Genomic DNA, 20,331 nt, shown 5'->3' with positions numbered 1-20,331 from the left:
AATTCAGTAAAATTCCAAGATATAAGAATCAACATACAAAAATCTTGAACATTTCTATATGGCAACAGTGAACAATCTGAAAAATAAATCAAGAAAGTAATATCATTTACAATAGCTACAAATAAAATAAAATATCTAGAAATAAACTTAACCAAACAAGTGAAAGATCACTACAATAAAAACTATAAAACATTGATGAAGGAAATTTAAGGGAACACAGAAAAATGGAAAGATATTCTTTGTTCATATATTAGGTGAGTCAATATTGTTAAAATGTCCATACTATCCAAAGCAATCTACTGATTCAATGCAATTCCTAACAAAATACCAATGATGTTCTTCACAGAAATAGCAAAACTAATCGTAAAATTATTATGAAACTACAAAAGACCCAGAACAGCCAAAGCCATTGTGAGAAAAAAACAAAACTGGAGGAATCACATTACCTGACTTCAAATTATACTACAAAGCTATAGTAATCAAAATAACATGATACTGGCATAAAGACAGGCATGCAGACCAATGGCAAAGAGTAGAGAATGCAGAAATAAATTCTAGTCTCAAACTCCTCCTGGTCTCAAGTGATTCACCAGCCTCAGCTTCACAAAATGTTGGGATTACATGTGTGAGCCACTGTGCCCTGCTGCACTTTCATGTTTATTGTAGCACTGTCCACAATAGCTAAGATTTGAAAACAACCTAAGTATCCATCAACAGATTAACGGATAAAGAAAATGTGGTATATATACTCAGTGGAGCACTATTCAGCCATAAAAAGAATGAGATCCTGTCAGTTGCAACAACATGGATTCAACCTGAGGACTTTATGCTAAGTGAAATAAACCAGACACAGAAAAACTTCAAGTACTCTCACTTATTTGTGGGAGCTAAAAATGAAAATAATTGAACTCATGAAGATAGAGTGTAGAATGATGGCTACCAGAAGCTGGGAATAGTAGCCTTGGGTGTGAGGGAGTGGGAATAATTAATGGGTATAAAAATTTTGTCAGAAAGAAAGAATAAGAGCTACTATTTGATAGCACAGCAAGGTGACTACAGTCAACAATAATATATTGTACATCTTAAAATAACTAAAAGAGTATAATTGGATTGTTTGTGATGCAAAGAAAGGACAAATGTTTGAAGTAATTAGTACCCCATTATCCTGATGTGATTATCATACATTGTATGTCGGTATCAAAATATCTCATGTACGCCATAAATATGTAGAATACCATGTACTCACAAATTTTTTTTTAAATAGACATATTACTTTGGTTGCAGATTTGCCTTCTTCTGCAATGTTTCTGCCATCCTCATTATTTTTGGAATTGTAGAATACTAGCTAACATTCTTACTTTATAGAGAAAGTAGTGTGACAATGTACTCCAACATAGGAGTTTAACATTTTCAGTGCTCCAATGCCATAGGGAAGCTGGCTTGATAAAAGGGCAGAATGTCTTGTGGAGGTTCCCATTATAGTCCCAGTTGGAAGACACCTGGGAAGCTTTTGCTTGATGCCTTAAATAAAAGCCAATATATGGCCTCACATCCCTAGTCAGAATGTGTAGGTATGAACGACAGGATAAATTTGACAGTAGTTCTTCTCCTTATGACACCAAATACCCCATTGAATAAATGTTTGCTCTCTTTTCTCACAAACTTTGGTTCAGTTAGTGTGAAGGTCTTAGTTACCAAGGGAGGAATGTTTCTACTAATACCCATATATTGCTTTGTTTTTCTGTTAAATTGTAAATTAAGGCTATTTACTGGCCTCTAACAACAGACAGAAAGATGGTTAGCACAGCAATAGAGCCTGATTCCCAAGAGGAACTTTTATTGTTTTTATATAGTTGCAGTAAAAAAGACCATGTTTGGAATCCAGATTATTCAGTGAAACACTTTTTGAGAGTCACTAGTGTAGACTGGTTAAAGTACAGAAATCCAGTGAACATAGATCACTGTTGTCTCAGATTTCACATAAAGGATTGGGTTTTGTCTTCATGTACTCAATTCTCTTAAGGTGCTGGAAGAATTTAAGACACAATGGCAATGAAGGAAGTTATTATTATCAACTTAGACATTGTTGTGATACAGAAACAAAGACTATAAGAATGTGTTTTATTTTACTTAAATATTTGTTTCCCTAGTAGCTTATTTGAAAGTCACTGATGATGACTAACACATTAAGATTGAGGAATGAGTATAATGAGTATGACTGAATTGATACTACCACACAACATTATAGTAGTTGATCTGACTCTGTATGCCCTGTGTTGGGAGACAGAATGTGTTTTGCCTGGCATAGTATCAAATTCACCTGTGCTAGAGGGTTTCCTTCTGACTCTTCACAGCCCTACTCCTCTTCTTCATTTCCGTTCTGTTGAGTGTCCAGTGAAGCTAACTTTTCTGGACTTCACCAATGAGTTCTTTGTCCTCTGGCATTTCGGGGAGTTTATACCATAGAATTATTGGCAGGATATCAGAAAGAGGGAAGAGATCATATTTGGCCTATCTACTCCTGCAATCCTCTCCATGCCAGATCACCAAGCCTTGGGAAGCCCAATTTCATAATATCTCCAGATTCTCAAAATATTGTTCTCCTCTCTATATAATTAATAAAAAGACTCTGCTTTTGTTATGTGCTCTATTCTCTTTAGTTATACAAGATGTTTCAAAGGGCTAGTAAAAGTTAAAAATAAATAAAAGATAATTTAACATAAATTGTTATACTGTGTAGCTATACTGTTTTAGATGCTGTGGAAATCTGTATGAAGGTGTCATTGGCATAATTTTCATAGTTTCTATCATTATTGATCTAACCAGCTACTGCAAAAGACAGAACTATGAAAATAAAATACTTTAAATATGACTATATGAAGGGTTGATTGTTTAGAATAACAATCAGATCTAGAGACCTTGTTATGAAGTCATTGCAATAGTCCCAGCAAGAATTGATGTGTAGAAAGACAAGCATGCTTGATGATTTTGGTATTGTTTTATAATGTCTTAGTAAGTACAATAAGATAAAAGGTAAATAATATTGAAAATGAGATAGCACTATTATTTTCTAGTGATAGACTTGACAACTTGGTATACTCAGGAGACTCAACCAAGTAAATATTAAAATTGAATTCAATAAAGAAGTCAGTTACCATCTGAATAACTTTACGTTAAAAACAAAGAGACTTTGCAGTTAGAATATGCTATTCACCACAGCAAACATGAATGTAATACAAAAAAAAATGGGGCTCTGGACTGCTGGGTAGGGCTGGCTTAGGTTGGAAGGCCTTCCAGAAACAAGATACTGTGGACTTCCTTAGGAAAAGCAGGAGTGAGGCTATTGTGTGTTTTACCTAGAGGCAATGGCAAATCTGTGACAATCAACTTGACTAAATGAGAAGAAATACATTTTGATTAGAGATTTTCTAGTGCAAATAATAAATTATTCTCAAACGATTTTATAAATATAATCATATTTAGTTTAAAATACCAGTAAAATCTTTAACCCAGCTCAGTCACTTTCTAAATAGTACATAGCCTTTAAAGTTACATGGATTTAGGTTGAAATATAAATTGAGCTATGTACCCTTGGGCATTTGGCTAAATTCTCTGATTCAATTTCCTACGTGGTCTAATAATCTCCTTTAGTTAATTAGGGAGTGTAAAATGTAAATGAGATCACATATATAAAATATCTAGTATAATGTTTGGAATTCAGAAAATGGTTTCTAAATGTTGATTTTGCCTTTTCCATCATAGGGTCCATGAATGAGAGACCTAAGAGTCCACCAAGGCTTGTGCTTCTTCTCATGGGGTTGTCTCTAGAATGTAGCTGCTCTGCCAGAGACTATATTCCCAATGCTTCCATGCAGCTGGTTAAGACCATATTACTAATTCTTGCCAATGGTATATAGATGTATTAGTCTGTTTTCACACTGCTAATAAAGACATACCCAAGACTGGGTAATTTATAATGGGAAGAGATTTAATTGACTCACAGTTCTACATGGCTGGGGAGGCCTAACAATCATGTCACTAGGCAAGGAGGAGCAAAGTCACATTTTACATGGCAGCAGGCAAGAGAGAGCGTGTGCAGAGAAACTCCCCTTTATAAAACCATCAGATCTTGTGATACTTACTCGCTATCACAAGAACAGCATGGGAATGACCAGGCCCTGTGACTCAATTACCTCCCACCGAGTCCTTCCCATGACACGTGGGAATTGTAGGAGCTAAAATTGAAGATGAGATTTGGATGGGGACATGGTCAAACCCTATTAATAGATCTAAGTGATATGCCTCTTGAGAACAGGAACACTAAAAATCAGTGTTCCAAAATTCAGTTTCAGCTCTGACATGGAAAGTGCTTGGAAAGTGTTGCTACTGGTTTTGCAACAAGGGAAGAAATGAACAAACCAAAATTAATTTATTTTCTTGGCTATACTAGAGAATTGAGGTTGCAGGACACACAGCAACCACAAAATTTGGAGACACAGGTAAATACAGATAATCACAGTCTGAATACACTTGCTGGGAGCAGAAGATGCTGTAACTACAAACTGGTATGAACACTTGAATAGTAACTTTGAGGAATTGCTGGGGGTAAAGTGTAGACTATTGTGATAGTGAGAAACTCTAGGTCCCCCCAAATTTCCATGGGTTTATTTCTAGTAACCCCAGAAGACCTTGGTAAATCCTCATGAAATACTCTATTTTTCTGGCAGGATAAGGGGAAAAATGACAATTTCTAATTTATCCAGAGAATTCCCCCAAACAAAGGCCTAATCAGCAAGGAAAATACTTTCCCAGAGGTTTATTTGTGTTAGTGAAAGAGAAAATACCCAACTCCACTTTTTTCAGCCTTCATATCTCACTTACAATGTGAAGAGGGAGGTTGAAGGTCACAGCACAGGTACACAGGCCATCTAAAATACCATAGTTGAATCACAAAATTACAGAATGCTTTCTGATCCCCCACATCACCAATCAACAGGGCATCAGCTGAAAGATGTAAAGGCACAACCCCCATTTAAGTAGGAGTTCTTAGGGAAGCCCAAAGACAACAGGGGAGACCAACTCAAGGACACTAGAGGAATTCAAAGCCTCTGACAGCTAGCTATAGCTACAGCAAACATTAAACACTGATTTAATCCTAGCTGGAAAAACATAAAGCCTCACATTAAAAGCCTTTACCTAAGTTATTATTACCAAATATATTATTTTAGGCCTTCGACAAAAATCTACAAGACACGCTAAAAGACAACAACAACAGCAAAAAGTCCAAAGAGGCAAAGAAATTATCAGAACTAGACTCCTATCAACAAATTTTTGAAATTATCGGACAAGAAATTTAAGAAAACCATGATCAGTACGTTAAGAATTTTAGTGAAAAAAAGAATACAACATGTGAACATGTGGTAATGTTAGTAGTGTTAAGAAAATGAAAAAAAAAGTTACAGACTGAGAAAAAAAATTTTTAAAACATATATATAATAAAAGGCTTATATCCAAAACTAAAAACAAATCTTTAAAAGTAAACAACTAAAAAAAAAACATAGGGCCGGGCACGGTGGCTCACGTCTGTAATCCCAGCACTTTGGGAGGCCGAGGTGGGCGGATCACGAGGTCAGGAGATCGAGACCATCCTGGCTAACACAGTGAAACTGTTTCTACTAAAAATACAAAAAAATTAGCCGGGCATGGTGTCGGGCGCCTGTAGTCCCAGCTACTTGGGAGGCTGAGGCAGGAGAATGGCGTGAACCCAGGTGGGGGATCTTGTAGTGAGCAGAGATTGCCCCACTCCACTCCAGCCTGGGCGACAGAGAGACTCCCTCTCAAGAAAAACAAACAAACAAAAAACACATGGTCAAAAGATCTGAACAGTTATAGACCAAAGAAGACATATTAGGTGGCAAACAAACCTACAAAAACATATACACTGTGACATTTTATTGGGAAAATGTAAAACAACAATGAAATACCACTACACACACAACAGAATGGCTAAAGTTAAAAACAAAACCAAAACAAACCTGACATTGACAATTTCAGGTGAGTATGCAAAACATTAACAGCTCTCATTTCTTTTGAGTGATATTACAACATAGAAAGTCCACTTCAGAAAACAGTTTGGGAGTTTCTTACAAAGTCAATATAGTCTTACTATACGATCCATCAAATATACTCCTTGGTATTTACCCAACTTACTTTAAAACCTATGTCTAGACAAAAACTTGCATGTGAATATTGTATAGCAGTCTATTCATAATTGCCAAAAACTAGAAATGATCAAGATGTTCTTCAATAAATGAAGAGATAAACAAACTATGATTCATCCATAGAATGGAATATTTTTCAGTGATAAAATGTCTGAACTCTTCAGTCAAGAAGACACCAATGAATCTTAGAAACAGTGAAAAGATTAGTGACAGGGCTTTGGGGAAAGGAAGAGGAGGAGGGACTGAATATGTAAAGCGCAGGTCATTTTTAAAATAGAGAAACTATTCTCTAGGATAATGCAAATGCAGATAAATGACACTATATATTTGTCAAAATCCATAGAATGTTACAGTATATTAAGTGAATCTTCATAACACGAATAGCAAAACAATCATTTAGGAAGAATAGAACACAGATTGTGACAAAATGATCCAACTGTATTATGAGTATACAAAACAGCCTCAATGTATAGAGTGAAGAGGAGGAGCAAGGTGTGGACCTAAGAAAATAATAAATTCTGTGTAACTGACAGCAAAAACACAGACTTAGGCACTGTATTCTAGCTGATAATGATATTTCTCAATAGATACCAGGTTAACAGCTCTAGTACTGCTATACATGTGTACTGAAATTGAACAGTTAAATAAATGGAGGACATCCACGTTTATCACTGATGGAGTGGGAGTTTACAGATAAGCAGGAGGAGGAGGCCAGAAAGATGCATGTGGTGATGGATTAGAATTGGAGACATCCTGCCCTCAAGGAGAGAGAACATAAAAGAACATAAATCCGCTTTTCATCAATGTGAGCTGCACCAACTTACCTCCTCCCAAAGAGCACAAAATAGAAAGGAACGAAAAGAAAAGAGCAACTTTACAGTGAAGAAACCTACAAACACTACCTCAGCCAGGTGATCAGAGTCAATATAAATGGTGATAAGAAGTGTTGATAATAGATACTCTTGATATATTGTGATGAAATGGCATTTTACTTCTGCATCCTTCCTCCTGAAAGCCCATAATCTCTGTCTAATAAGAAAAGAATAATAGACATTGCAATGAGGGAATATTCTACAAATTGTCTGACCACCGAAATTCATCAAAAACAAGGAAATTCTGAAAAACAATCACATCCAAGAATAGCCTAAAAAACATACCAATTAATGTAATTTGGTATCCTGTGTGGGATCATAGAACAGAAAAAGAACATTACAGATATGTACTTTAGTTAATAACACTGTATCAATATTGGTGAAATAGTTGTAATGAATACACTAATATAAGGCATTAATAGGGGAAGTTGTGTGCAAGGTATATAAGAATTCTATGTACTATCTTCTCAATTTTTCTCCAAACAAAAAAACTATCCTTAAAATATTTTTTAAGAAAAATAGTGTACAGAGAGTGTGTCTAATCCATGTGCTCAATCCCATCAGCAGAGAGAGAAAGAAAGCAGAGCTCTTTGAAGCAGAGAAAGAAAGCAGAAAGCAGAGATCTTTGAAGGCTTAAGAAACCATAAGGTAAAAGGAATCTTTGTGCTAGAGTCACCATACAGGCATCCTATAGATGTGTAATGACACACTGCACTACTGTTTGAGTATGAAACAAACATCTATTATATTAAGCCGTAAAAAAATTAGAGATTTTTAAGTTCCAGCAAGTAGAATTACTGTAAGAGATACAATCTTTCTGTGATGTTCACTCTCAAATATTTGGTTTTCCAGATGAATGGTTTTAAATTATTACAGACAATAAAATATATCCAAAAACTGGCTAAAAGTATGGGTATGTAAAAGATAAAACTATAATTTTGTAATTCCACTGATCTTTCAAAAAATAAAATTAAGCTGGTTTTAAAAGTTAGGCATTTTGCTAATCTCTGGGGATACAGTGTTGAAAAAACACAGTATCTTGCCATTAGTGAAGGACAGTCATCAGGAAGGAGAAGAAAAGAGGAATGAGGTGATGATGTTTGAGAAGAGAACAGGACCCTGGGCAAATCCATGTATAAGGTTATTTGTTGACATGAAAAAAGTACTATAGAATGAAATCTAAAGTTTTATCATGTTATTTCTTCCTCAAATTTCCTGTGTCTATTTCAAAATTTAATAATAATGACAAGGGATAGAGTTTCTAAAGAATATCAGGGATATATAAATATTTATTTCCTTGGGATTTTTAACACATGTATAACTTCCAAAAGAAAGAGAAATGTCAGCTGGACGCGGTGGCTCATGCATGTAATCCCAGCACTTTGGGAGGCCAAGGCGGGTGGATCACGAGGTCAGGAGTTCAAGACCGGCCTGGCCATGATGGTGAAACCCCATCTCTATTAATAATACAAAATTTAGCTGGGCATGGTGGCAGGCGCCTGTAATCCCAGCTACTCGGGAGCTGAGGCAGAGAATTGCTTGAACCTGGGAGGCGGAGGTTGCCGTGAGCCGAGATCGTGTCACTGCACTCCAGCCTGGGCGACAGAGCAAGACTCTGCCTCAAAAAAAAAAAAAAAAAAGAAAGAGAAATGTTGATTGGTAATATATGAGGGGGAAAAAGAGAAAATAATAATAATTCATCTTCAAATTATATCATTTGTGGGTCTCTGATAACATAGGCTTTTAATATCTGTATTTCAATACTGAAATAGTTTAATGCCTCTATAAAAATGTTTTTAAAATCATTTTAAATAGGCATATTTAAGGGGAAAAATGAATGGACAATTGGAAATCACTTTTACACAACTGTTTTTTGTCTACTAATAGGAAAATAATTTCCTCTAATTAGTGCCATATTTCATATTGAGTGGACATGTAAATTTTATAAACAACCTATCCATAACATTTAATTAATTGTTAAAGGTTAGGTTTTTGAGGACATTACTTAATGTTACATTTAGAAAATCAGATTGTGACCAACAAATAAGTGGAGAATTAAATTAAATAATAGCATACGTTAGTCTGTGAAGAAAATTTGGAGATATGATGAGATGGTTGATTAATATTTGGAAAATTAACTTTAATCTTCTATCTGCATGAGTTTTTCTTTTTGACATGGGTCGCTACATGGAAAGTATTGTATGTTTATAGAGGCCATTTTTTTATACATTTTTTACTTAATATGTTGAGAAGTTTTAAAAAGAAAATTCTTAAATTAGAAGAAAGTTTTCATGCAATTGTTAAAAGGAAACATTGAAATATATTTTAAGTTTCTCAACTTGTTCTAAGAGAAAATAACTGACTGATTTTTTTTAATTGCCCTTAGGAGCTGTACTATAGACAATACATCTGAATAAGTTCAGTTAACTTTTTAAGAAAAAGAGAATGACCTGACACAATCAAGGAAATGAATAATTTTAAAAATTTATAAGCTAAAATATGACAGTCATTTTCTCAAGCAGTCAGGCACATTGCCCTTTTATATTACCAGTCCCATTGAATTATGAATGTGGGCTGAATAAAAAGCCTGAGGGTGACAATGGAGCCACGTTTTGTCATTTGCACTTAGAGAATGTCCATTGCTCTAGCTGGATTTCCAAACCTTACCATTATCTCTGGCTGCTCAGGACTTTGGAAAATACATGAGGAATACTTCAGGGATGGGGGAGATGAAATACTAATTGCTAGTCATAATAATAAGTCTAAAGCATGCAGACTCTTTGGTCCTTTGAGCTGTGCAAGTAAGTCAAACTCAGCAAACTTTCTCAGTCCTAACCAAGCTGAATATATAGAAGCAAAAATCAAAATAAAAAGTCAGTTTTCAAATGCATACTTCTCAGCTGCAGGAATTATGAGTGGGAAGAACAGGTGTTCCGAGAGATTCTACGGTTCTTCAGTTGCTAAGGAAACCACTTTCATCAGTTCAGAAAGGCTGATAACCTGGACTTTTTCTGCCAAATTACTATCAACAAAGGTTGGGACTGATATAAACATGACTACACAAATGAAAAGAACATTAGTACATTAGTAATTTTAAAAATAATGATAAGGTTGCATTAAAAGATGACTGGTAAAATAGTTGCATATTAAACAAGAATAGTTGCATAATTCCTAAATAATTTGAAACAGATTGATGTGAATACACAATCCCAAATTCAAGTATAAAAATAGAAGTTAATTTTTTCATTATCTTAGTGGAAACAGTGTTAATGCAATTAATGACATATGTGTTTTAGTAATTACATAATGAAGCTTGAGTTACATTTTAATGTAAAGTTAATTATATAAAACAGAAATGAGTAGTAGGTAATTTTATAATATTAGACATTTATGCCTTAATCAGTTATTTTCTCATGATTATTTCCAAGTTGTGTATAATACAAATGAATACTTATGAATAACGTGATATGACCTGTATTACAAGAGGCAAAATATGATTAATATTGAATCTGTCTCGCTGAAATATTTTATGCCTATAATTAGTATAAAAAGTACTATAATCGTAATTTTTGAACTGTTGAATTATTTCTTGTAAGAAGTATTGTTTTTACAGCACTGAATAACACAAAGTATATATCTGAAGAATTAGAAAAGCAGCAACAAAGCATGTAAGAAAAAAACCTCTCTAATTTCGGGGGCTTGATTAGTGCAAGACTAGAAATATTGTTTCCACTTACATAAGATCTTTTTGTAATTCATATTTATCAAAATAATTATAATTATAATTCAGAAACTAATCCTTAGTAAAAATTTTAATTTTCACTAACATTGATTTTGTGATTATTTTAAAAATGATCAGAATTATAAATAGTAGCATTGTGAATTCTAATTTTATCTTTAAAATACCAAGAACATCAAAATTTAATATTTGGAATCCAGTAGCAAAGCATTATTATATTATATCATAGTATGTAATCTATTTTAAAGTCTTAAATTAACCATTAAATTTTGCTTGTTCCATTATTTTAAAATGAAAAAATAGGAGGTAGAAAATAGACACTGCGTTTTTCACTTTGTGCCACTTTCATTATAAACTTATTTGTTTTAGAAACAGTTATATAATTTTGCCAAAGTCAGACAAATTGGTACATCTGCAGATAATGGTACAATTTAATATTTAGAAAGTATCAAGTTTTATACAGATACATGCTTCTAGTTTCCATGGAAATTTAATAATCGCTTGAGCATATTTTCATTTATCTTCTTGTATGGAATCAAATAATGTATATACTGCTGTCTTTAAAAATCACTAAAATTAACTCACTTATTGTCTGCTCTATGAAATTAATAATCTCTTGTTTTACTATAATAAAACTTTTTCAAAGGAAGGGACTTCTTGAGAGTACCTGGGATTTAGTAGACATTCAATAAAAATGTCTTTATTGGCTACATTTGAAATTTATTGTTTCTTTTCTTATTGGCATTTATCACAGTAAATATGAAACAGAAACCCTACTTATTACACGAGTGGTCTTCAAACTGGAAAAGGTGTTTGTACAAAGACTTTCTAGGGTGTGTATAAGCATAGATACTTATAGAAGGCCAACAACTATAGCCAATTACTGCAAATACCCCATATTACAAAAAGAAAACTCTGTCGAGGTACCTTTTGGCATTGTTTCCTTCCCATCTATCCAAATGAGGTCATTTCTCCTACCCCAATTCTTACCATAGCATTTTCATTTTGTTTAAAAATATCCTTCATTCGATAAAAAATATTGATGTTTGTTTTTTAAATTGCTCCAGGTTTGGTCATTAGGTAATCCTTCAGCTTGGCTCCCGGAGTCTTTCAATATGGTTTTTCTTTTTCTTCTTCTTCTTCCTTGTAATCATTTTCTTACTTTCTGAAACCCCCAAGTGTCTCTGACACATCTTCCTGCCTGCCCCAGCCCTAGAATCAACCACATCTACAAAGACCCTGGTTTCTTCATTGGACAATTGTGTTTGGAAATTAGGGTAAAATATTAACATTAGATGAAGAAAGTTGAGAAATATAAGTAAACTCTGTAATATTTTGCAATTTTTGTAAGCCTAAAATTATTACAAACTTTAAAATGTTTAAAAATATTGATGCTGGCCAGGCGCGGTGGCTCACGCCTGTTATCCCAGCACTTTGGGAGGCCGAGGCGTGTGGATCATGAGGTCAGGAGATCGAGACCATCCTGGCTAACACGGTGAAACCACATCTATACTAAAAATACAAAAAAAATTAGCCAGGCGTCGTGGCGGGCGCCTGTAGTCCCAGCTACTCGGGAGAATGGTGTGAACCCGGGAGGCGGAGCTTGCAGTGAGCCGAGGTGACATCACTGCACTCCAGCCTGGGCGACAGACCGAGACTCCCTCTCAAAAAAAAAAAAAAAAAAAAAAAAAAAAAAAAAAAAAAATTGATGCTGACTGCAAAGAACAATTATTTAAACTTAGACATCAAGTAACGGCATTGCTGCCTGAACTTCGACATCTACTGGAGCATAAACAGTTGCAGATGAAGATAATTTGTTTCCTGAAAAAAATGTACTTTTGAATTTGCATTTGCTATTATAGTATACTGTAGACATGGAGGAAATAGCTTGTTTATTTAACTATTTATTTATAGATTATGTATTCATCTATTTCTATAGATTACCTATAGAAAATATAGCTATAATGTGACAGTTTATTAAAAATAGTACATTAACTAGTTTCGTGTCGATTAGCAAATTCATTTCAGCATTCCTTTGAAGGGTAATAAAAGTCAACATTGCTCTACTTCTCCTTTGGACCAGCTTCATCTTTAGATTAGTTCTCTAATTAAGAAGTCAGATAATTTTCAATATGTGCTCATACTATTTTTGATTTTATATAAGATGCAAAATTTTAACTTATTAAAAATTCTCTATTGATATAATGAATCTTCCATTAATCAAGATATTATAAACCCATGAAAAGACATATCTTTTCCTTTGTATACATATTTTGAATAAAGATGAAACTGTCATTAAACATGCAGCATTTCAATCTTCATTAATATACTCTCAATTCAGATATGTTCAGACTGGAACAAGGAGAATGCTAAAATTTTAAAATAAATTTACTTGCCTCTTTCACGCCCAGCCATTGTTAAGTGATGCACTGCCCCTAATGGCGAGTTCTCTGAGCCAATTACTAATAGCACCTGTAAGAAATATTGAAGAAATGTGGGTTCATATTATATATACCAAGTGCCTTCTCTGTCTAAACTAGAAGCAGATTGCAAAAGTACAATGGTTGCCATGGATAGATTATTAAAAAATTTATTTTAATAAAAACTTTATCAATACTCTTCTCCAAATTTTCTCTCCTGAGAAACGATTAAAACTCTTTCACGGTGGTATTCTCTTTCAGTGTAGTATTTCTAATAAACTGAACTTTGCTGCATTAGTTTATTTTCATTTTTGTCTTTTTCAGGAGTTTTGGAGAGTCAATGCATGATGATCTCTGAAGATTCTACTGAAATCTAATCAATATGTCCTCACTGCCATCAATTCAAAAGAACTTGCTAAGAAGGCTCTAGAGGCTTGTACTCTCAGATAGTGAAAGTGAGATGATGTGTAGTGAAAGTCATATATAGGTTGTAAATTGCAATATGGAATTCCCAAATGCTGAATTCATTTTATCTCTTCGGAAATAAAAACCTGTTAAAGACTCATTTGATTAAGTGATCATATTTGAAAACACTTATCCTACAGGAAACACTGCCATGTCTTTAAAAACACTGTCATCTGTCTTTGTCTACTCCATTCATTGTCCATGTGTTTACAACGAAGTATTAATATATAGCAAGATCAACATAAGAATGATGATTAATTCTTGGATAATCCCAAAGGATTGATGGGTTCAGAAGGTCTCTCTGGACCAGTATTCATTGTACAAACTCTGTCTTGGATCAACTTTTCAAAATCATACAGATGCTTTAGTTTTATTGTTTATATCCATGAGAACAGTTTTATTTATTTATTTATTTATTTATTTATTTATTTATTTATTTATTTGTTTGTTTTCTGGCCAGACATGGGGGTTCATTGGATACTCAATTTGTGATGACTTATCTTTGGCCAGATTGTGGAGATCCAAGGTTTACAAAAGCACAGTTTTCCTATTTTATATTGCAATTCTCATATGCATATCTTTCTAACAGTTATAACTCTACTAAGTACTATCTGAAACTGCAATGGCTATTTGGGAAATTTTTTATTCTTCACTTGAGAGAGGACTTGAAAGAGAAAAGGGAAGAAAATCCTTATGGGAAGATTATCTGTCTTCACTTTTTAAACTTTTTTAAATTTTTTAAAATTATTATTATACTTTAATTTCTAGGGTACATGTGCACAACGTGCAGGTTTGTTACATATTTATACATGTGCCATGTTGGTGTGCTGCACCCATTAAGTCGTCATTTATATTAGGTATATCTCCTAATGCTATCCCTCCCCCCTCCCCCCACCCCACAACAGGCCCCGATGTGTGATGTCTCCCTTCCCAGGTCCAAATGTTCTCATTGTTCAATTCTCACCTATGAGTGAGAACATGTGGTGTTTGGTTTTTTGTCCTTGCGATAGTTTGCTGAGAATGATGGTTTCCAGCTCCATCCATGTCCCTACAAAGGACATGAACTCATCATTTTTTATGGCTTCATAGTATTCCATGGTGTATATGTGCCACATTATCTTAATCCAGTCTATCATTGTTGGACATTTGGGTTGGTTCCAGGTCTTTGCTATTGTGAATAGTGCCACAATAAACATATGTGTCCATGTGTCTTTACAGCAGCATGATTTATAATCCTTTGGGTATATACCCAGTAATGGGATGTCTGGGTCAAATGGTGTTTCTAGTTCTAGATCCCTGAGGAATCGTCACACTGTCTTCCACAATGGTGGAACCAGTTTACAGTCCCACCAACAGCGTAAAAGTGTTCCTATTTCTCCACATCCTCTATCTGTCTTCACTTTTAAAGAGACATTATAGTGATTAACATGGACAATGCCCCCTTCTTTCATTTCTGTATTTGGAGTACATTTTTGTACCTTTTTTTTTGTTAATCATATAGCAGATAAAATTTTCAAAATCATAAACTATTGTTTAAACCATGATTTTTTATTCTGTGTATGTCAAAATTGGTCTTTCTGCAAATAAGTACTCTCCTTTGCCTGCAAAGGGAGGATAATTAGCTTTTCCTAGTGGTAATTTTATACACGTCTGGAGTCAGTTCCAGCTCTCTTATTTTTCTTTTTGCAATTTTTCTCTCATTTTGACTTTTATTAAGAAAATGGGAGATTAACTGGCTATAAAATGATTTTTCTATTATCTTATGCACACCCTAGAAATATCTAGTGAAGATAAACATATTTTCTTAAAAAATTAAAAAGTAAGTCATTTTGCATCTTTTTCACTTACTAAAACTGTACTTCAGAAGAAAAATTTTAATGAAGAAATTTTTAACGGCCTTCCTTCCTAAGTAAGAAGAAAAATTAAACCAAACTTTTAGCATGAATTAAATAACATTAACAACTTTTTATATAAGGCTACAGAGTTTTATTTATTTTAAATGAGTTTAGATAGTATTTCTGGGAGACAACATTTTCAACAAATTAGAATTATATTAATTATAAAAATATTGTGTCTTCTCATTGATTGTATTGTCATTTAAACTGATGTTGGCACACGGTTTTCATTGATTATATCGTATACATATGTAGTAAAGCAAAAGTAAACATTTTATCTATTGTACTTATGTAAGTATGTACATCCAAACGCACAAACAACACAATCACATACACATATACACATCAACATATTAAGATTACCAGCATATTAAGAATAAACCAAAGATAATACATAGTAAAAAATAATTTAAATTTTTTTATGTTATACTATAAATATTAATACAAATATTAGAGTAAAATGAGTTCTACTTGCCTTGGTTTATTTTGCTTTCAAATGATATATTTAAAAATATAGTAAATAATTCATATTTTAAACAAAGTTGATTGAATGTTAACAATTTATCAGTATCGGTTTAAAATGAAAATCGGACAAAATATTTTCTTGATATTTGATTAATTTTTTTGTTTTACTTGGGTTAGTAAAACATCAGGATAATTTATGAATAATTTGTTGCAAATTGTTACTGGAGGAATTTAAAATTTATATTTATTGCTACAAAATTTTCAAGGTTATTTTGTTCAAAACCAGCAAGTCCTTTTAATTACTAAATGTTTTGTCAATGCTCCAAGCATTTGGCATACTTTTAAATCATACATACCCAAAATTCCTTATTTAAAGAATTAAGTTGCTAATTATTATTTTTACTTGCTGTTTACTTTTAAAATTTACCGGTATCTATTTCTTGCCTTTAGATATAATTTTCATTTCTTATTGTCTCCTCTGACAATTCTCAATTATGTTTGTAACAAATTAATTTCCCAAATTCAGAATAATCAAATATTTATTGACTCTTCATCCCAGCCAAAACAGAGTAAACCCACTACAGCTCGTGCCTCTTACTGATAGATTATAACTAAAGTCTCTGAACAAAATTTAAATAACTCTCTAAGAACCTTGGAAAGTAAGCAGAAGCCAGAAGAGAAGGAGAGAAACTGAAAACTTGAAGTAACTCATCCAAAAGTGAATTTCCCGGTTGTTTCATTAGTTTATTTGTTTGGGTATTGGTTTTGTTTTACTTTCTATTTCTCCAAACATGGACTCTAAGATGAGCCTCTAGCAGAGGTGTGTTGGAAAGCGAAAACTGCAAAAAGGAATTCATTCATTCTGCCAAAGGAATTGGGAAATGAGCCCCTGGAATCTGGACAGTGTAGGAAGAATTCCTTTCTTTTGCTTTTAAATTTAAATCATGTTTGGTTTTCCCGGAAACTAAACCAGTTTACACATAGACTCCTTCACTTTTTGAAAGGAAAGATAGAAGAAATAATTAGATTCGCTCAAAGTTTTAATTAACTTAAATCTATTGTAATTCTCTTTCATTTTTCAAACTTAGGAAAAAATATCAATATATTTAAATGATTGCAATTATTAGGAACATAGTTATATTGAGGTAAAATGAACAATACAGAGCGTTCACTTGGATGTCTGCAAAGCTTATTACTACTAGAAAATTGTCTCATTAGCTGAAACCACTAAACCTTATGAACTTACTGTGTCTGACCCTAGAAGCTCCCAGATATAATGGCTTTTCCTTTAGTTGTGACTTCATACTCACAGGAGAGTTCCTCTCATTGAGAAATTTTAACTTTAAACCAAATACATTAGGGGATACTAGAAAAAGTAGTTTCATGCTTTAGATGGAACCGATTACGATTCTATGTTTAAATTATTAAAATTAGAGTAATAAAACACATCAGTACCTCACTAACGAAAGCCTTTTTACCAAAGATGATTTCTTGCTACTGGAATTTAACATGGATGGGCGCTGCTGTCTTCCTTAAAAATAATTCAAGACAGTTCACTTTTTAGAGTAAGTTTTTTTCAATGAGGGTGTTTATTACACACAAAATAAGATATTATGCAACAATATTATAAAACTGAAGGACTATAAATATGACTAAACAAAAAATTCAGGTTTCTCAAACCATTTCTCAACTCTTTTGTACTCAACTTTGTTTAAATCACAGTTCCAAAATTTTGATAATTATATTGTTACTCAATAGTAAACCTTAATTTGAGTATTTGGGAACAGTCACTGATATATATGTGTGTATGTGTACATATGTGTGTGTTTCTATATATATATATAGAGAGAGAGAGAAATGAAATAATCCAAAATTTAATTCTCAGGTACAAGAATTAACAGTCCTCTAGAATTATTTATTTATTTTAAATGGTATATTTACATATATTTAACAATTTTTTTTTAAACTTAGTAATACAGTTTGGCTATGTCTCTGTCAGTACAGTTAGACCTACCAGCATTTTTAAAGGTCAAAGATATTTAGCATTTTATTACTAATATACTCTAATTCAACTAATCCTTCACTTGCATAGGTATTGAGTTGATCTATTCTTTTTAAAAATACTGCAAAGTACATATTAATACACATTTGCATAGTTTGTTTACATTTTATGGATTCTTGATAAATAAAACCTTAGATTTAATAAAGTCTCAATTCAGATGTATGTAATGTAAAATGTAAACATCTTCCTAATAATAATGCAGTTTGCCTTGTTTGTATTTTATAAGAGGATAAAAAGGGATGTGGAAAAATATAAGAATTGCCCCCCCCAACACACACACACAATAATAGCAAAACCCAACATTTTCAGTGTATTTTCTTGATGTCAAACGCTTTCATCTTTACATGTATTAACTCACAATAATTCTGTAAAATAAGCACGCTATCTTTCCCTTCATTTATAGGGAACAAAACAGGCACAGAGAGAAACAGAACCTAGTACTAGTATTAGTGGTATTAATAATAGTAATTGTGGCAGTCACTAACAATTATTGAGTATTTGTTACAGGCATTATTTTAATAAATTTATACAACCAACAAAAATATGAGAATATTTACAGAGAAATATCTAAGGTCCTATCCTAAACAGGCTTTTATATGCTATTCATTAGGATATGGATCAATTACCATATATTACATGTTTAGCATTACTATCCAGATAAGATATATATTTATTTATCAATTTAATAAATATTTGGAAACAATTATTATACATGTAACCATTTTTGCTTGGAGTTTTTAAACTCCTTTATCTTTATTCTATATAAAGTTATCTATTAAGAAGTTAAATTAAAATTTTATATCAGTTGAATTGCCTCCATGCAGATTATAGACAAGTTTAGAAATCTATGTTTCTAAATTACCCATTTCAGTTTATTTATAAATATTTATATTAATTATGCAAGGTATTATGCATATATATGTGCAGTTGAGTAAATAATATAAAAAATTAATTAACAATTAATTAATCATACTATTTCTCTCCTTGAAATATGTAAAGCTGTGAGGGACATGATAATTTGCTCTACTCAGCTTTTTTTAATCAGTCTTACGATAACTCTTTATGGTGAGATATACAATATGCTTCAATTAATTCCAATTATTTAATTTTTTCTAGTCTTGAAAAAGGAAAAAGATCCGCCTGGTTATCTATGTTATAAGCACATTAGAATATTATTTTGGTAGTTAAAATCAGCCTAAGGAAAATGCATAGTAACATGAATTTTTTGACTTCATAAAAATCACTTCACTTGGGGTTAGGTTTTCTTAAAAGCAAATGGCAAAAATGTTTTTTTAGAAAATGCCATTAATTTGAAAAGAAAATGCCACCAAAATAGGTATGACATGAAAATGCGACAAATTGACAAATGGCAATTTGATGTGAAAAAGAAGGTTTAGGCATACCCAGGAATTATTTTGACCCATATGACTGTGTTATAAAGCAAGAAATTTAATTATTTTAGCTTTAAGAAAAGTGCTGTATTTAAGACACATATTCTTTATTTCACTTTAATTTAATTCAAAAATATTCTTAGATATTACTATTTACAAAACACTGATCTTTACTTGGTATATTAAAAAGTATATCTATTTGGGATGCTTAAATATAATAAAAAATATAATGATGTGAGAAAATTAAGATAATTTTAATGCAGTAGTTTAAGTTTTATTTTAAATCACTATGGGTACATAATAGTTGTATATGTTTATAGGGTACATTTGATATTTTGATACAGATATGCAATGTATAATGACCAAATGGGGATATTGGGAGTATCCATCTGCTCAAGTATTTATCATTCCTTTTGTTAGTAACATTCCAGTTCCATTCTTTGAGTTACTTTAAAATATACAATAAATTATTGTGAACTAAAGTCATCCTATTATGCTACTGAATACTATATCTTATTGAGTCAATCTAACTCTATTTTGTACTCATTAACCATCCCCACTTTATTCCCTCACCCCTCTGCTACTCTTCCCAGCCTCTGGAAACTACTCTCTATTTCCATAGGTTCAATTTTTTTTAGCTGCTACTTATAAGTGAGAACATGCAATATTTATTTTTTCGGTGCATGACTTATTTCACTTAACACAGTGTCCTCCAGATTTATCCATATTGTTGCAAATGACAGGATTTAGTTCTTTTTATGAATAATATTCCATTGCATATAGGTACTGCATTTTTAACCC

General features: G+C 32.6%; 1 long non-coding RNA gene across 1 annotated transcript; it reads left to right on the top strand.

Moving 5' to 3' along the window:
• Positions 1-6,708: 6,708 nt before the first annotated feature.
• On the top strand, positions 6,709-13,817 carry LOC105374695 (uncharacterized). Its single transcript, XR_925873.2, has 3 exons — positions 6,709-7,132; positions 7,661-7,741; positions 13,577-13,817. It is a non-coding gene; the product is annotated as an uncharacterized LOC105374695 (long non-coding RNA).
• The last annotated feature ends 6,514 nt before the right edge of the window (positions 13,818-20,331 follow it).

This window comes from Homo sapiens, chromosome 5 (assembly GCF_000001405.40).
Source record: "Homo sapiens chromosome 5, GRCh38.p14 Primary Assembly".
NCBI classification, from domain to species: Eukaryota; Metazoa; Chordata; class Mammalia; order Primates; family Hominidae; genus Homo; species Homo sapiens.
Note: the sequence above shows the minus strand (reverse complement) of the source record. Positions and strands in the feature narration are given on the sequence as shown.